The following is a 17,306-nucleotide window of genomic DNA, read 5'->3' as shown; positions in this document are numbered from 1 at the left end:
GGCCTCCTAAAGTGTTGGGATTACAGGTGTGAGCCACTGCGACTGGCCTAATTTTTGTATTTTAGTAGAGATGGGGTTTCACCATGTTGGCCAGGTTGGTCTCGAACTCCTGACTTCAAATGATCCGCCCACCTTGGCTTCCTAAAGTGTTGGGATTACAGGCGTGAGCCATGGTGCCCAGCTGCTTCTATCTATATTTAATTACAAGTGTTTGTTTTTTCCCAGGTAATTTTTTTCCCTTTTTGGTCATTTTTTTAAAAACCTTTTATTTTGAAATAATTAGGCACCAACACTGCTGAAAGACCTGGTTGTCTGAATCTTCTCTTGTTGCTGGCTCATCTTTGGTGGTTCTATATTTTCTTTCTTTCCACGTTTCTGTTATAGTATTTTTAATACTGTGTCTACGCCACCACCCTGGATTTGCCTTTGCTCCCACCCAGGACCCCCAGCTCCATCTGGGCAACCCCAATCCTACCTCCTGATCACAGCGTGCACTGCTCATGGCTGGCTACTTGCCGGGCTCTTCAGAGCTCCTCTCCCACCTATGATGCAGCCCAGGTAGGATCCAATTGATTCTCCACACTTGGGTCTCTCTGAAGTGTGGCCCCAATCTACCTGGCTAGCTTTGGGTTTTGAAGCAAGTTCATTAGCCTCACTCCACCTCCTTGGCAAAATGAGATTAATCCCTATTTCTGCAATGTTGTTACAGGGATTACAGACAATAACTGAAGCCTTAAGTGACTGGTGCAGAAGAGGTTGATGCCCATCTGCTCAAGTGTGCTCCATGTCCCCAGGGCACTAAGGGTTCAGCCTTTCTGTCCAGCAGTCACTTCCCATTTTCACCCCTACAGAGAGGCCAGAGACATTTTACAACAAGCCAACACATATGCTTTATGGTTCTGTTTCAAAAACATGAAAACCCAGGCCCTAGGATTCAAGTGATGTTGAGAGGCAGAAAGGATGGAGAAGTTGTTGGCGCCAGCATGGGGGCAAGCAGCCAGACCTCAGGCCCTCACTCTAGGCTCCACGTGGCTGGGCTTGACTTCTGGCCAAGGGCTGCTTTTCCCGCCTGCGGCCCACCTGAGGCCAGACCTTGCCTGAGGAAAGGGCCTGTGGTGGGGGGGAAGCTCAGGCAGAAGGAAGACGTGGCCAACGGCCATCCCTGAGGAGGTAGTGAGCAGCTCCTGGTTCGGCAAGGGCGGTGGGTAGGAGCCAGGCCGAGGAGTCTTAGGGTCCCCTCTCCACAGCTCTGGTGGGCCCCCTGCTCCCCTAGCCAACTGGTTGCTCACCTGCCTTCTATGCTCCCTCCTGAAGCCAGCCCCTGGGAGAGAACATCTGAAGGCAAGAAGGAAAGAGAGCCCTGCCTAAGCTTCTTCCTCCCTGCTTGGCCAAGTGGGAGAAGCAGCTGAGGTCCTTTGTGTAACTGAGGAAGCACGGAGGAGCTGGAATGCCTACCAGCTCGGAGAGGGCACTTGAGAGGGTCTATGAACAAATCTGTCTAAAAGCCACGTTTGAGCTAAAAGCATCAGTCCATCCCTCAGCCCCAGCTCTGTGCGGGCCAAGAATCCAGAAGGCAGCAAGCAAGGCCTATCTCCCAGGCTGGAGGTGGTTGTGGAGCTGCTCTGCCTGAGTCTTCAGATGCTGGAATTCCTCTTGAATGAAGTCCGTCAGGGCTTTCCGCATCTCCACCTGAGGGAAAGGACCAGGGATGGCCTGCACCCCTCGGGAAGCTTGGCCAAGGTGCCCTGGGAGGGTGCCCTGGGAGGGTGACGGGATGGAGAGGGTGGAGGCACCCTGCTGGAAGCCAGCAGCAGGGGGTCCGGGGACAGCTACGGGGGACCCAGGAGGAAACTCACAGCCGACTTGTTCTCCGCCCGGAGCCGCTCGAGTACAGGCAGGGCACTGAAGGGCTTCCCGATCAGCACAGTGATTTTCTGTGGGGTGGCCGCCAAGAGTGATGAGGAGCAGTAGGAGTGCCCACAGCCCCAGCCCAAGCAACCCGGGAGCCAGAAGCTAAGCCCCGGCCCTGCTGTGCCACACACTCCCCAGGGGCCACTCTTCCTCTAAAACAAGGTCCTGGTCCTGGGTCCTGTGCTGTAGATGACCTGTCCTGTCCTGACCCCACAGCCCACCTCTGCCCCAGCCTGACTTCCTCTGCTCTCATTTTAATGTCTCGGTGCCAGGAAGTCCCTGTCTATGTTCCACTCTGTCCCCTGCTGTAGCCTCATGCTCAGCTCCTCCTGCAGCTGGCCTCCATAGTGCTGAGTGGGAGACACGGAGCAGACAGCAGACAGGCAGACAGCCGAAGGTCAGCAGTCCCCACCCACCTGTCCAAAGCGGGGGAAGTAGGGCGGACTGTTAGGAAGGACGTCATTCATTCCTGCAGCACAGTGGACAGAAGGCCAGACGTGGGGTGGAGCAGGGCAGCCTGGGACCAGAGGGAGTCCCAGGCCCCCCACCCCAGATGCCATCTCTCTGTCCCCGTCCCCAGGCTCACCGACATGCCACAGGGGCAGGATGATGGGGTTGAGATGACACTCAGCAATCAGGCGCCCGATTCCTGCCCAGGGGGGAGGTAGAAATGTTAGCATAAGCTGGGCCCTGAGCCAAGCTTCTGTGCCAGCCTCTGGCCACTGCCACCCCCGACATCCTCCAGTTCAATTCAGCTCCCTTGGGCAAGCCCCTGCGAGAGGCAGGCCTAGTCTCAGCACCTGTCCCCTTCCTGGCGCTACAAACACGCCCATCTACCCCCATACAAGCCAGCCCGAGGGGGCGGGAGCCAGGGGCCCACAGGGCCATCTCTGGGCCGGGAGGATGGCTGTGGCCAGAGACCAGCAGCCCTTACCCCACTTGAAACGCAGGAATTCGGAACTCATGTTCACTTTCCCTGGTGAGAGAGCACAGAGGCGAGGCTTGGGAGCCCATCCCGCTCATACTGGGGGGGCTCGACCCAGTCAGCCCTGCTGACCTTCTGGGAAGATATGCACCCAGTCCCCATGGTTGAGCTTCTCCAAAATGAAGTCCATCCCCTTCTGGTAGACGCCATCTCCTGCAAGGAAAAGGCCTCTCCCTATCAGTAACCATTCTCGGGGGCGTGGGGTGACAGGTTAGCTTACCCTCAACACTCTCCAAACCTCAATGAAACAGGCCCTTCTCCCTGGGGCCCATGTGTTGGGGACTATCCCCCTCAGTCCCTGCTTGCTGGGAAAGCCCCAGCAGATTAGGGACTTCCCATCCCCCACTGCGCCATCCACAGACGCCCTCCAATGACCGTCTCCAGGGCCTGCATGGCACTTGGGCACGCTGTGGGGCTTCCTTCCTAATATCTTCTAAACCCCTATGTGCCAGGCAGCATCAGCTCAAGTCATCTCCTACCGAGATTCTGACCTGGCAATTCCTCCATCTACCTATGACCCCCATCTTCAGTGGCTCACCAGCTGGGCCGCTTCAGCCACATACTCCTGCACACTCTCAAAGATCCCCAGGTCAGCGCACCACCTGCCCTCCCTCCCCAGCCAGGCCCTGGCTGCCAGCCGACCGCTCTCGGAGCCTCATGCGTTCCTTTCTCTTTGAAGGTGCCACTCCTGGGCTGATCCTACTATGTGCCAGCTGCTAGAGAAACCAAGTGCATTTGTGATTTCCAACCTCGCTTAGGCCCCAGATTCTGGGCAACAACCCTTTGCTGGGATCTCAGCCGCTTGTCACAGCCACTCCTCACAGGGCACCTGCCTGAGGCCTCAGCCTCCACCATTCCTCCCCCCTGCTGACCCCTTCTTCTCAGGGCACCCCGGGAAACTAGACCCTCCCTTATAGGGAGGTCTCTTGGGAAAGGGAGAACATTCATTTGAACACACATCAAGAGCTTGGGAAAAACTCAAACTTGCTAGACTGAAAAACAGTGGAGTCAAACTGCTCCTGGTCTAGCAACTTTCCACATTGGAGATAACCCTGAGACCATGGCACTGGACCCAAGAGAAGGAAATGCAAACCTCCTTCCTTCTGAAGCCAATGTTGGCTGCTGCGTGCTGGCTGGAAGCCTGGGGATGCTTGGAGACAGTAAGTACACAGTAAGGATCTCATCAACCTTGGTGATGGAAAAGTAATCACATGGCAGACAAAAGAGGAAAGAGGTGGAGAGGTTGAAGGAATGGGGTATAGCAGATATCCTCATCTTATAAAGTGGGGAGTAAAGAAGCCCTATCACAGAGCGAGAGACAGACATTGGGAATACCTTTGGCAATGAACTTTGTTCTCTGCAAGGCCGATTCTTTGGAAGGTGCTAGTTAGGGATCCAGGAATCTCAACCCAACCCAAACAGTGCCCTGACCCAGCAGCCCACTTGGGCTAGAGGGAGGGGGTGATGACCCACTGGAGTTTCCCTACTTGGGACGCAGCATGTGTAATAGTACAGGGGAGTCTTCATAGGTACTGGCCCCTTCTCTACTAAAACCCACTGACGCAACCTATCCATTGAGCTTGAAACTGGAATTTAAAAAATAATAATAATATGCTTTTGGAGCAAGACTTCATCATTTGTAGCTTTTGCAAATGCTACTACTGCTCACTTGTGTCACTTGTGTCAAATCACTTTGATACTTAAATACCATATTAAAATCTACGCTTGGAGAAAAAGGGAATTTTTTGGAACACAGAAGCCAAGTGTGCCAAATACTGCCTTTGCCTTAATGACATATTATTAGTTCTTTGCTGAAGGAACTAAAGAGGCAGGGACGAGGGGTGAATCAGCAGAGTCCCCATCTCTCAGAGCAGGTTGGGATAAACAATGCCACGGTCATTTGCCAAGACACTGTGGCCTCTGCTTGTTCCTTTACAGAGACAGAAGTTCCTTTACAGAGACAGAAGTAGCCTCCAAAAGCAGCAGAAAGAGAAACCGCTCCAGGGGGCTGCTTCTGAGGAGTGGGGCTAGGGAGGTGAGGGGCAGGCACTGCAGCTTTCCATTAAAAGCCCCTCTTTGTTATTTGCTGTTACTTTATTGGGTTTTACCACATTCTACTTTGACCAGCTAGAAATAATAAACCCCTCCTTGACCTCTAATATCCTTTGGTTACCCTTCCTTCTGTCTCTTTTTCCTCCAAACTGAACCTCTGGGAGGAGTTGCCGCCCCTGCGGTCTCCATTCCCCCGCTGCGGTCTCCATTCCCCCCCAACTGCAGCACCACCAGCCCTCAGGCCATAATAATCTGGCTCTGGCAGCTGTCACTGCATGGAAACGCTTCTCCAGCATCACCTGCTGCTTCCATGGTGCCACAGGCGCCTGGTTTGCTTTTCTCTCTGGCCATGGCTCCCTGCCATCTTGGTGGCTTCTCTCTCCCTCTGTGCCATCCTGGGCCTCTGCCCTCTCTCTGAAGACTCTCACTCTGCATTCGTGACTTTGTGGTTTTTGTGGTTGAATTCCCAGTATCTTTATTCCTGATAATTTTTTGTTTTTTTTTTTTTTGAGACGGAGTCTCGCTCTGTCGCCCAGGCTGGAGTGCAGTGGCGCAATCTCAGCTCACTGCAAGCTCCGTCTCCCGGGTTCACGCCACTCTCCTGCCTCAGCCTCCTGAATAGCTGGGACTACAGGTGCCTGCCACCATGCGCTGCTAATTTTTTATATTTTTAGTAGAGACGGGGTTTCACCATGTTAGCCAGGATGGTCTCAATCTCCTGACCTCTTGATCCGCCCGCCTCGGCCTCCCAAAGTGCTGGGATTACAGGCGTGAGCCACTGCACCCAGCCCCCTGATCATTCTTCTAAGTTCCAGAACTGCACACCCCACTGCCTCTGGGACTGCTCTCCTTCCACAGGTGAGGGGCTCCTCAGATGCAGCACAAGCAAAACAGGACTGACCCTCTCCCCTCCCAGCCCCCGCACTGCTTTCCCTTTGCACCCTTCTCCCCGTGGCTCAGCTCCAACACCTGGTGTCATCTTTGAGTTCTCTTCCTCACCCCACCTACACTTAATCTATCAACAAGTCCAGAGTACATCCCAAAGAAGTCCCCTTCTCCGGTTCTCCAACGTGACACTTGGGAGGCCCAGCCACAATCATCTGCTGCTGGAGCTACTGTGACAGCCCTGAACTGGGCTCCTCATGTCCACCTAGCCCTGCTGCAGCCACATTGCAACTGGAATGGTATCTCTCTCTTTTTTTTTTTTTTGAGACGGAGTCTCGCTCTGTCACCCAGGCTGGAGTGCAGTGGCGCGATCTCTGCTCATAGCAAGCTCTGCCTCCCGGGTTCACGCCATTCTCCTGCCTCAAGCTCCGCCTCCCGGGTTTGTGCCATTCTCCTGCCTCAGCCTCCCGAGTAGCTGGGACTACAGGCACCTGCCACCATGCCCAGCTAATTTTGTGTTTTTAGTAGAGACGGGGTTTCATCCTGTTAGCCAGGATGGTCTCGATCTCCTGACCTCGTGATCCACCCGCCTCGGCCTCCCAAAGTGCTGGGATTACAGGCGTGAGCCACCGCGCCCAGCCTCGGCTAATTTTTATATTTTTAGTAGAGACGGGGTTTCGCCATGTTGGTCAGGCTGGTCTCAAACTCCTGACCTCAGGTGAACCACCCGCCTCGGCCTCGCAAAGTACTGGGATTACAGGCATGAGCCACCGCGCCTGGCAGATGCTACCTCTTAACCACAGATACAAGCATGTCACCACCTGGATGAGAGAGCACAGTCAAATACAAAAATCTTTTTTTTTTTTTTTTTTTTTTTTGAGACCAGGTCTCCCTCTGTGGCCCAGGCTGGAGTGCAGTGGCATGATCTCAGCTCACTGCAACCTCCACCTCCTGGGTTCAAGCGATTCTCCCACCCCAGCCTCCCGAGTAGCTGAGATTACAGGCGTGCGCCACCACATCCAGCTAATTTTTGTATTTTTAGTAGACAGGGTTTCGCCACATTAGCCAGGCTGGTCTCAAACTCCTGACCTCAGGTGATCCACCCACCTCAGCCTCCCAAAGCACTGGGATTACAGGCGTGAGCCACCCCACCTGGCTATCTAATCTATCTAATCAATCTATCTATCTTATCTATCTATGTATGTATGTATCTATCTATCTATCTACCTACGTACCTACCTACCTATCTACCCACCTACCTACCCACCTACCTATCTATCTATCTACCTACCTACCTACCTATCTATCTACCTATCTATCTATACCTGGGGTCTCACTATATTGCTCAGGCTGGCCTCAAATTCCTGGGCTGGGTTGGGCACAATGGCTCATGCCTGTGATCCCAGCACTTTGAGAGGCTGAGGCGGGAGGATCGCTTGAGTCTAGGAGTTCAAGACCAGCCCTGGCAATGTAGTAAGACCCCAACTCTACCAAAAAAAAAAAAGAATTAGCTGGGCACACTCCTTAGTCCCAGCTGCTCAGGAGGCTGAGGTGACAGGATCCCTTGAACCCAGGAAACAGAAGCTGCAGTGAGCCATCATCACGCCACGGCACTCCAGCCTGGACAACAGAAACAGACATTGTCTCAAGGAAAAAGAAAATCGAGGGCTCAAGTGATCCTCCCACCTCAGCCTCCTGAGGAGCTGGGACTGTAGGCATGCACCAATGCAGCCAGCTAATTCAAAATTCTTTTTTTTTTTTTTTTTTTCCAGACGGAGTTTCGCTCTTATTGCCCAGGCTGGAGTGCAATGGCAGGATCTCAGCTCACCACAACCTCCACCTCCCGGGTTCAAGCAATGCTCCCGTCTCAGTCTCCCAAGTAGCTGAGATTACAGGCACACACCACCACGCCCGGCTAATTTTTGTATTTTTAGTAGAGACGGGGTTTCACCATGTTGGTTAGGCTGGTCTCGAATTCCTGACCTCGTGATCCGCCCGCCTCGGCCTCCCAGAGTGCTGGGATTACAGGCATGAGCCACCGTGGCCGGCACTTTTTTTTTTTTTTTTGAGACGGAGTCTCACTCTGTCACCCAGGCTGGAGTGCAGTGGCGTGATCTTGGCTCACTGCAAGCTCCACCTTCCGGGTTCACGCCATTCTCCTGCCTCAGCCTCCCGAGTAGCTGGGACTACAGGCGCCCACTACCATGCCCAGCTAATTTTTTGTATTTTTAGTAGAGACGGGGTTTCACCGTGTTAGCCAGGATGGTCTCGATCTCCTGACCTCGTGATCCGCTGGCCTCAGCCTCCCAAAGTGCTGGGATTACAGGCGTGAGCCACCGCGCCCAGCCAGAATCCAAAATTCTTAATAGGATTATTCTAGAACCTTCATATTCTACATACAACTCATATTTTCTACCTTTCTTTTGTTTAAAATATTTTTATTTTTAAAGAGACAGGGTCTTACTATGTTGCCCAGGCTGGTCTCAAACTCCTGGGCTTGAGTGATCCTCTCACCTCGACCTCACAAAGTGCTGGGATGACAAGTGTGAACCGCTATGCCTGGCTTACCTTTCTCTCTTCTTTTTCCAGCACCTGGCATGTGCCTGCCTGTGTCTAGAACACCTTTCCCCTCATTCTCTGCTTGGAAAAATTCTGCTCCTGCAGAGGAAGGAGCAATCTGGATTCAAATCCTGGCTTTGCCACCTCCTACCCCATGACCTTGGGCCAGCAGCTTAATCTCTGTGATCCTCCCTGTCTGGAGAATAGGGATCAAAATGGCCCCTATCCCCTGGGGTTCTCACCCCACAAGCCTGTTTGTTCTCCTAGAAGCAAAACCCTCTGGCCTGCAGGTACATGCTACTGCCACCATGGACCAATGACAACGCACTGTTCTCAATGAGTCTCTTAGTGACATCCCTGAGAGAAGGGGTTATGGATAATGCCTCCTTGAATTCTAATGCCAAGGCTCCAGGTCCACAGGATCCCTGGGCAGTTGCAGAGAGTTGAGGACTTTCCAAGGACCCATCCCTCCTCCCACAGCCTCTGTCCCCTCTGCTGGCATGTGATGGAGCTGGGCCTCATGTTGGCTCCCGGGATGCCTACCCCCATAGGTCCCTCCAAAACAGAGACACTGGCCACCAGCTTTCCTGCCCCAGAAGTGCCTCCCTGCACTCGCTGGAGGAGCAGCTCACCTCGGCACACAGGCACACACTTGCCCAAGCTGAAGAAGTGGGAGTGTAGCTCCTTGGTGAAGCAGATGTCTGCAGCTGCAGGGGTCCTAAGCAGGGACAGATGCAATTAGTCCTGCCCCCTGCACCCCGCTCCACCACCCTGCCCCCAGCATCAGCATGCAGAAGGGAGGCACAGGGGAGGGCCTGCGGGGCCCCACCCCATGCCCTGCCTGGACTGCTGGACGCCACCTCCTGGGCAGAGCAGGAGGAGGGCAAATCTGGGCAGAGGCAGGTGGGGCCGGCCCGGCCCACTTCGAGGGGCCCATTCCTCCTCACCAACGCATCAACTTCAGGTTCCAGATGTGGCGGAGTTTCAGGATCCCTAGAGGACAGGAAAGGCTTCATGCCCCAACTTCCCATATCCCCAGGGAGTGCCCTTCCTTCACCCCATCTCAGGGAATGAGGGACAGCAGCACTACCATTTCCCTACAGCCCAAAGTGGCATCTTTCAGACCCTTAGGCCAGATCATTCAGTTCTCCCTGGCTCCTCCCTCTCCCCCACCCTCCACATCTTACTAATCACTGCACCTGGACTGCCTACCTCCCCAACATACTTGGACAATGCCCATTCTTCTATACTTCTCCCTGTACTGTCACTGCAACCAGCCCAGTCTAGGCTAGTGGATGGCTCCAAGTCCTCCTTCCTGGCCTCCCAGGATCCACCTGTGACATCTATAGGCCTTTCTCCACCCAGCAGCCAGGGTGAGCTCTGAAGGGCTCCAGTGTGGCTAGGTGGCTCCCCATGAACTCTAGGACAGTTAAGCTCTCTGTTCAGGAGTGGAAGCCCCAGGCACCCCTCCACCCGGCCATCTGGTTACCAGAGCCAAGCAACTTCCTGTGAAGTCAGCAGAGCAGGAACCTCTAGGTGTGGCAACCAGGCTCCCAAATAGGGCTGAACGGTACACGCCCAGCCAGGGGCAAACCTGAAGCCAGGACACTGGGCTTCCAGTCCCTGGCCCAGAACTTCCTCACAGGATATCCTATGTCCAACCCCCAAATTTTTCCCAAGACTGTGGGGCCCTGGATGGTTTAGAGAACAGAGGGTTCTGGAGGCCTGACGTTAAAGGAGCTGTAAGATATGCCCTGTGGCCGTTCCTTGGTCCTGCTCCATGCCCAAGGCCCTCTCCAAATCATGCTCCCTCAGGGATGCTGCAGGAGCCACAAATCCAAGTCTCAGCCCTGGGGCAGAACGCCCGGAAACCGGAGTGCCAGGGCTCCATGAAAAGGCAGCGAGAAGGGGTTTGTTCTGACGAGGCTGGGCCCGTCCCGAATCCTCGCCTTTCCTCCCCCTGCCCAGCACACTGGCCCGGGTACCCCAGAGATGAGGGTCGTCCATGCAGGACTGGTGATTGGACACGGTGATGAGGGGCGTGGCCGGGCCTCGCTTCTCGATGAGCTCGTACAGCACCTCCCTGTTGTGCACGGTCAGGTGGTTCATGTACTCTGGCGGGGAAGGAGAAGTCAGGCGCTCCGGGCTCGCCCGCTAGGTCGGGGCCGCGGCGTCCCCCACCCTAAGTCCCACCTCCGGCCGGGCATGGGTACCCGGGCGGGCCTGCCTCGGCCTGGGCCCACTCACTGGTCCAGAAGCAGCTGTAGGTGCCCACCAAGCCCATGACGACGCTGCTGGCCAGGGTCCAGGTGAGCGGCGGCACCGCGGGGAACGGCCACTTCACGTGCAGAGGCATCCCCACCCGGCCCGCGGCCGGCGCTCCCAGCGCCCCGGGCCGGCCTGTGGGGCGCCTCTAGGTCTGCGACCTCGACCGCTCGAGACACTGGCCCCTGACTGGCCCGCGCACGGACGGACGGGGGCGCGGCGCAACAGGGGACTGGACCGAGGTCCCTTCGCAGGTCAGGCCGGAGCAGCGCCCGGCCCCGCTCTCTCGTCACTGGGGAGCGGTCGCCGGGGTCACAGGCCGTGGGCGCGCTGCGGAACGGGAGGAAACGGGAAGGCGGGCGCTGGCACCCCGGCCCGGTGCAACCGCCGGAAAGCGAACCTGCGCCGGTGCCCAGCCCGACCGACTGTCGCAAAGCGCGCACGGGCCGCTTGACGGCAGCGAGGCCAGCCCCGGGGCGGCGGGAAGTGGCCGTCACCCCGTGGGGCTCCCGCTTCCTGGCAGCCTCCTGCGCTCGCCTTTTGTCTCTCTAGTGTTTCTGTTTTTTGTTTGACACAGGGTCCAGCCAGACCCAGGCTGGAGTGCAGTGATGGGATCATGGCTCACTGCAGCCTCGATCTCCCAGACTCAAGCGATTCTCCTGCCTCAGCCTCCCGAGTAGCTGGGACCACAGGCGCCCGCCATCACACTCTGATCCACCCGCCTCGGCCTCCCAAAGTGTTGGGATGACAGCCGTGAGCCACCCCGCCCAGCCACATATACAATTTGACATAGTTACAGTACTACATGATACTATGTGTATGTAGCAATGTATAATCTACTGTATGGCAAAATATACAATATATACAGCAATATATACAAACATATTGTGTATCATATGTAATACAAGAAACAGTATTTTATACCATCTGATACAGTCACAATGTCAGCTACTACCTCTAGTTCTGAAACATATTCATGACCCGGAAAGAAAGCCCCCTATGCATTAAGCAGCCAGTTTTTTATTTTTATTTTATATTTATTTATTTATTATTATTTTTTTAGGAGTCTCGCTCTGTCGCCAGACTGGAGTGCAGTGGCACAATCTCGGCTCACTGCAACCTCCGCCTCCCGGGTTCAAGCTATTCTCCTGCCTCAGCCTCCTGAGTAGCTGGGACTACAGGCGCAGGTCGCCACGCCCGGCTAATTTTTTTTTTTTTTTGTATTTTAGTAGAGATGGGGTTTCACCATGTTGCCCAGGTTGGTCTCGAACTCCTGAGCTCAGGCAGTCCACCCACCTCAGCCTCCCAAAGTGCTAGGATTACAGGCATGGGCCACCGCACCCGGCAGTTTTTTATTTTTATTTTTATTTATTTTTATTTTTGAGACAGAGTCTTGCTCTGTTGCCCAGGCTGGAGTGCAGTGACGAGATCTCAGCTCATTGCAACCTCTGCCTCCCAGGTTCAAGCGATTCTTCTGTCTCAGCCTCCTGAGTAGCTGGGATTACAGGCGCAAGCCACCACACCTGGCTAATTTTTGTATTTTTAGTAGAGGCTGGGTTTCTTCATGTTGGTCAAGCTGGTCTCGAACTCCCGGCCTCAGGTGATCTGTCTGCCTCTCCTCCCAAAGTGTGAGTCATCCTACCTGGCCTGTTTTTTATTTTTAAACCATAATTTATTGATTTTTTTTTTTGAGATGGAGTCTCGCACTGTCGCCCGGGCTGGAGTGCGAGTGCAGTGGTGTGATCTCGGCTCACTGCAAGCTCCGCCTTCCAGGCTCAAGCAATTCTCCTGCCTCAGCCTCCTGAGTAGCTGGGATTACAGGCGCCCACCACCACGCCGGGCTAATTTTTTGTATTTTTAGTAGAAACGGGTTTCATTATGTTGGCCAGGCTGGTCTTGAACGCCTGACCTCGTATCCACCCGCCTCAGCCTCCCAAAGTGCTGGGATTACAGGCATGAGCCACCACGCCCAGCCCATAATTTATTGATTTTTTAAAATTTGTCCAGCCTTCTATTACCACGTCGAATCCATTAGCTACAGCCATCCCATGAGAAGCTGAGTGGATTCAGCCCCACCTCCTGCTCACAGACCCTGTCCGAGCACCTCATTTGTCCCAACAGCATTACTGCAGGACCCCCAGGACGTTGGACTGCCAGCTCCCTGGGTCTCCTCCTCTCTGGGGCAGATCCTCAGTCCTCCCTTGACTTCACGACTGTGGCCAGATCATGTGTGGACTGTCCCTCTCTTTGGGTCTCCAGAGCGCTTGCATCAAACACCCCTAACTCAGAAGTGTGCAGCCACACTGGGACTCAGAACCCAACAACAGGGACAGAAGACTCACGCCCTTGGGGTGCCCGGTCTCGTGGCATCAGGCATGACTTCCAGCTCCTGCGCCTTCCCCAGCAACTGCTGACTGGGGACCCAGACCGGGAGCTGAGCGACGGGCCTGGCGAGCGAAGCTCGGGGTCTCACTCAGGCACCAGCCCCTCCTTGCCCCAGGCTTGAGTGACTCACAGGTCTGTCATGTCCCGCTGGCCCGGGAAGGCGGGGTCTGGGTGGGAAGGTGGGCGGGCAGGTCAGCAGTTCCCAGGCCTGGTGCTGGTCCTCCTTGTTGGCGGCGAGGCGGAGACGGGGCGGGCCTGCCTGTTGGCAAGGGTGGGGCGTCCGGCCCAGCCAGGCCCTTCCTGGCCGGGTGGCTCAGGAACACAGCCTCTTCCTCTTTTTTTTCCCCTCCTAGCCCTATTCAGGCAGGAGCTGCTCTTCTGGGGTATCGCGATCCACTTAAGGATGAGGCAGACTTGGTGACAAGCTGGTCTGAGCAGGTATGGGAGCCCCCTGGGGAGACGGAAGAAGGGAGGAAGTTGCCTTCTGCCTGGGGAGGGTTTGAGAGGGAGAGGGAAGCCTAGGGCTCCCACCAAGGCTGATATTGACAGCCAGGGTTTGGGGCTGAAGCCAGGAACCGTCGCTCTCTCTGGTTCTTACTGGTAGCCCTCATGGGGGTCCCTGACGCCAGAGCCTCCAAGGCTGCATGTGCCAGCCCAGGGCTGCCCACATACCCATGTATATCCCAGAATAGGCACCAGGGTAGGGAACCCAAACTAGCATGAGTGACAGAGCAGGTGGTCAGGGAGAAACAGACATCAAACCCAGCCAGGAGAGAGACACCGCAACAGAGAGACAGAGAAGGGAAACCAGAGACGAGAGGGAAAGTGAGACAGAGACGGACAGAGCCTCAGAGAGGTAGGAAGTGAGCCCGAAGGGAAGGTGACAGGTTGATAGAGAAAAGCAGGCAGACAGAGCAGAGGAACTCATGCCTCAGGATGCAAAAGCCACATGGACAGGGCGTGGAGCAAGGAGCCGAGCCCTGCAAGGTCAGGTGAGTGTGAGACAAAGATAAACTGAGAGAGGGGGGCTCCAGCTGGTGAGATGAACAAGAAGGGCTCCCCAGTGGTGGCAGGGGCATGGGAAAGAGTCCCCATCACAGGTTGCAATGGGGATGATTTGGCCATATCTGAGACCTTTTAAAATGCACACACCCTTCACTGCCGGGAGTTTATCTTAAAGAGAACATCTCACAAGTGGGGAGACAGAGATGAACGAAGATGTTCCTGTAGTTGCTAATGGAGGCGAAAAGCACTGGGGTCTTGGAACAACATGGTGAAACCCCATCTCTCCAAACAAATTTTAAAAATTAGCTTGGTAGCCGGGCGCGGTGGCTCACACCTGTAATTCCAGCACTTTGGGAGGCTGAGGTGGGAGGATTACTTGAGGTCAGGAGTTTGAGACCAGCCTGGCCAACATGGTGAAACCCTGTCTCTACTAAAAGTACAAAAATTAGCCGGGTGTGGTGGCACGTGCCTGTAATCCTAGCTACTTGGGAGGCTGAGGCAGGATAATCTCTTGAGCCTGGGAGACGGAGGTTGCAGTGAACTGAGATCAAGCCACTGCACTCCAGCCTGGGAGACAGAGTGAGACTCCATCTCAAAAAAAGAAAAAAAAAATTAGCTTGGTGTGGCAGCATGCACCTGTAGTCCCATCTACTCGGAAGGCTGAGGTGAGAGCATCACTTGAGCCTGGAAGGTGGAGGTTGCAGTGAGCTGAGATCACATTACTGCCCTCCAGCCTGAGCAACAGAATGAGACTATCAAAAAAAAAAAAAAAAAAAAGGGGGGGGGCCGGGCGCGGTGGCTCACGCCTGTAGCCCCAACTACTCAGGAGGCTGAGGCAGGAGAATCACTTGAACCCGGAAGGCAGAGGTTGCAGTGAGCCAAGATCACGCCACTGCACTCCAGCCTGGTGACAGAGCAAGACTCCATCTCAAAAAAAAAAAAAAAAAAAAAAAAAAAGGTAGACTAGGCCAGGCGCAGTGGGTCAGGCCTATAATATCCCAGCACTGGCTGGGCGCAGTGGCTCACACCTGTAATCCCAGCACTTTGGGAGGCCAAGGCCGGCTGATCACCTGAAGTCAGGAGTTCGAGACCATCCTGGCCAAGATGGTGAAACCCTGTCTCTACTAAAAAATATAAAAATTAGCTGGGCGTGGTGGTGGGTGCCTGTAATCCCAGCTACTCGGGAGGCTGAGGCAGGGAGTTGCTTGAACCCAGGAGGCTGAGGTTGCAGTAAGCCGAGATCACGCCACTGCTCTCCAGTCTGGGCGACAGAGTGAGACTCTGTCTCAAAAAAAAAAAAAAAAAAAAAAAAAAAAAAAAAAAAAATCCCAGCACTTTGGGAGGCTGAGGTAGGAAGATCACTTGAGTCCAGCAGTTTGAGACCAGCCTGGGAAACATAGAATTCAGGAGGCTGCAGTGAGCTGTGATGGCACCATTGCACTCCAGTCTGGGCGACAGAGCAAGACTTTGTCCCAAATAAATAAACAATAAAAGAATAAGCTTGACCGCTTGTGCACTGTTGGCGAGAACGTAAAATGGTGCAGTCACCATGGAGACCAATATGACACTTCCTCAGAAAATTAAAACTAGAACTACCATATGATCCAGCAATTCCACTTCTGGGTATATACCCAAAAGAACTGAAAGCAGGGGCTGGGCGCTCTGGCTCACGCCTGTAATCCCAGCACTTTGAGAGGCCGAGGCGGGCAGATCACGAGGTCAAGAGATGCATGAGGCTGGGGCACCAGGGCTCATTCCTGCAATCCCAGCACTTTAGCAGGCTGAGGCAGGAGAATTGCTTGAGCCCAGGAGTTCAAGACCAGCCTGGGCAACATAGTGAGACCTTGTCTCTATTTAAAAAAAAAAAAAAAAAAAAAAAAGGACACGGTGGCTCACACCTGTAATCCCAGCACTTTGGGAGGCCAAGGTGGGCAGTTCACCTGAGGTCAGGAGTTCGAGACCAGCCTGACCAACATGAAGAAACCCCATCTCTACTAAAAATACAAAATTAGCTGGGCGTGGTGGAGCGTGCCTGTAGTCCCAGCTATTTGGGAGGCTGAGGCAGGAGAATCGCTTGAACCTGGGAGGCAGAGGTTGCAGTAAGCCGAGATCGCACCATTGCACTCCAGCCCGGGCAGCAAGAGCGAAACTCCGTCTCAAAAAAAAAAAAAAAAAACCAGATGGATGGATGAATGAATGAATGAACAAAATGTGGTCTACCCAGATGCCCAGACAATGGAATATGATTCAGCCATGAAAAGGAAAGAAATTCTACAGCCGGGTGCGGTGGCTCACGCCTGTAATCCCAGCATTTTGGGAGGCCGAGGCGGGCAGATCACGAGGTCAGGAGATCAAGACCATTCTGGCTAACATGGTGAAACCCCATCTCTACTAAAAATACAAAAAATTAGCCGGGCGTGTGGCAGGCACCTGTAGTCCCAGCTACTCGGGAGGCTGAGGCAGGAGAATGGCGTGAACCCAGGAGGCGGAGCTTGCAGTGAGCCGCGTTTGCGCCACTGCACTCCAGCCTGGGCGACAGAGTGAGACTCCGTCTCAAAAAAAAAAAAAAAATTCTGACATATGCTCCAACATGAATGACCCTTGAGGACATTTTGCTCAGTGAAATGAGCCAGTCACAAAAAGACAAATACTGTAGGATTTCACTTTTTTTTGAGACGGAGTCTTATTGTCGCCCAGGCTGGAGTGCAGTGGTGCGATCTTGGCTTGATCTTCACAGAGCAAGACTCTGTCTCAAAAACAATTTTTTTTTTTGGAGACAGAGTCTCACTCTGTCACCCAGGCTGGAGTGCAGTGGTATGATCTCGGGAGGTCACTGGGAGGCTGGTGCTGGGCAGCAGCTAGTGCCACTTTCTCTGTTCCATATTTCAGCGCTTCCAGAGCCAGAACTGAGCCCAGTGAGAGCGCACCCTGGGGCAGCCTGGATTCCTGGGGTGTCCCCGGCAGCCACACACAGCCATGCACTACCCAACTGCACTCCTCTTCCTCATCCTGGCCAATGGGGCCCAGGCCTTTCGCATCTGCGCCTTCAATGCCCAGCGGCTGACACTGGCCAAGGTGGCCAGGGAGCAGGTGATGGACACCTTAGTTCGGGTAAGTTCATCACTTCAGGGAAGCCGTGCCCCTAACCACCATGAGCCAAAGCCCCCATCCCTGCCTGACCAGGGGTATGTTCTAGAGAAGAGGGGAGAAGAAGAGGTGTGGCACGGAGATGCAGCGCAGGCGCTTGCCTGCTGCTGGC

General features: G+C 54.5%; 2 protein-coding genes across 29 annotated transcripts in view, besides 4 other annotated features; one reads left to right on the top strand and one right to left on the bottom strand.

The window, feature by feature from the left end:
* TAFAZZIN (tafazzin, phospholipid-lysophospholipid transacylase) lies at positions 866-11,053 on the bottom strand. Of its 17 annotated transcripts, none has more exons than NM_001440856.1 (11): positions 10,586-11,053; positions 10,378-10,506; positions 9,340-9,385; positions 9,025-9,110; positions 8,402-8,491; positions 2,969-3,049; positions 2,846-2,887; positions 2,498-2,560; positions 2,328-2,380; positions 1,857-1,934; positions 866-1,689 (listed from the first exon to the last, which is right to left on the bottom strand). In NM_001440856.1, exons 1-11 carry the CDS (start codon positions 10,746-10,748, stop codon positions 1,588-1,590), a joined length of 933 nt encoding a protein of 310 aa, NP_001427785.1. In that variant the 5' UTR covers positions 10,749-11,053; the 3' UTR covers positions 866-1,587. The 17 variants fall into 17 exon arrangements, 16 of the variants coding, with proteins under 16 accessions (NP_001427785.1, NP_000107.1, NP_001290394.1 ...); NM_000116.5 differs by having other exon boundaries at positions 10,640-11,053; NR_024048.3 differs by lacking the exon at positions 8,402-8,491 and having other exon boundaries at positions 9,234-9,385; positions 10,640-11,053.
* Positions 2,003-2,502: an enhancer, noted in NCBI's record as "H3K4me1 hESC enhancer chrX:153648429-153648928 (GRCh37/hg19 assembly coordinates)". NCBI's record gives its function as "activates a minimal SCP1, AML or CMV promoter by ChIP-STARR-seq in primed H9 embryonic stem cells {active_cell/tissue: H9 hESC(primed)}" and the evidence as "EXISTENCE:reporter gene assay evidence [ECO:0000049][PMID:30033119]".
* Positions 2,503-3,004: an enhancer, noted in NCBI's record as "H3K4me1 hESC enhancer chrX:153647927-153648428 (GRCh37/hg19 assembly coordinates)". NCBI's record gives its function as "activates a minimal SCP1, AML or CMV promoter by ChIP-STARR-seq in naive H9 embryonic stem cells {active_cell/tissue: H9 hESC(naive)}" and the evidence as "EXISTENCE:reporter gene assay evidence [ECO:0000049][PMID:30033119]".
* Positions 9,008-9,181: a silencer, noted in NCBI's record as "fragment chrX:153641748-153641921 (GRCh37/hg19 assembly coordinates)". NCBI's record gives its function as "represses an EF-1alpha promoter that drives an FKBP-Casp9 reporter gene in an ReSE screen in K562 erythroleukemia cells {active_cell/tissue: K562}" and the evidence as "EXISTENCE:reporter gene assay evidence [ECO:0000049][PMID:32094911]".
* DNASE1L1 (deoxyribonuclease 1 like 1) overlaps positions 10,491-17,306 on the top strand; it is a 10,866-nt gene continuing 4,050 nt past the window's right edge. For 2 of the 12 annotated variants that reach the window (XR_007068182.1, XM_017029332.2), the window contains exons 1-4: positions 10,491-10,701; positions 11,721-13,174; positions 13,396-13,480; positions 16,937-17,158. Coding sequence is in view for 11 of the 12 variants with exons in the window: in XM_017029332.2 (XP_016884821.1) it covers positions 17,024-17,158 (135 nt within the window). In the remaining variant the exon portion in view is untranslated. Of the gene's footprint in view, positions 10,702-11,234; positions 11,475-11,720; positions 13,175-13,337; positions 14,035-16,936; positions 17,159-17,306 lie in introns of those variants that run through there. The other 10 variants (XM_047441891.1, XM_047441890.1, NM_001009932.3 and 7 more) reach the window with 10 other exon arrangements.
* Positions 10,527-11,066: a silencer, noted in NCBI's record as "silent region_21101". NCBI's record gives its function as "represses an Ori minimal core promoter by ATAC-STARR-seq in GM12878 lymphoblastoid cells {active_cell/tissue: GM12878}" and the evidence as "EXISTENCE:reporter gene assay evidence [ECO:0000049][PMID:35858748]".

This window comes from Homo sapiens, chromosome X (genome assembly GCF_000001405.40).
Source record: "Homo sapiens chromosome X, GRCh38.p14 Primary Assembly".
NCBI classification, from domain to species: domain Eukaryota; kingdom Metazoa; phylum Chordata; class Mammalia; order Primates; family Hominidae; genus Homo; species Homo sapiens.
This window is presented reverse-complemented; position numbering and strand designations above follow the sequence as displayed.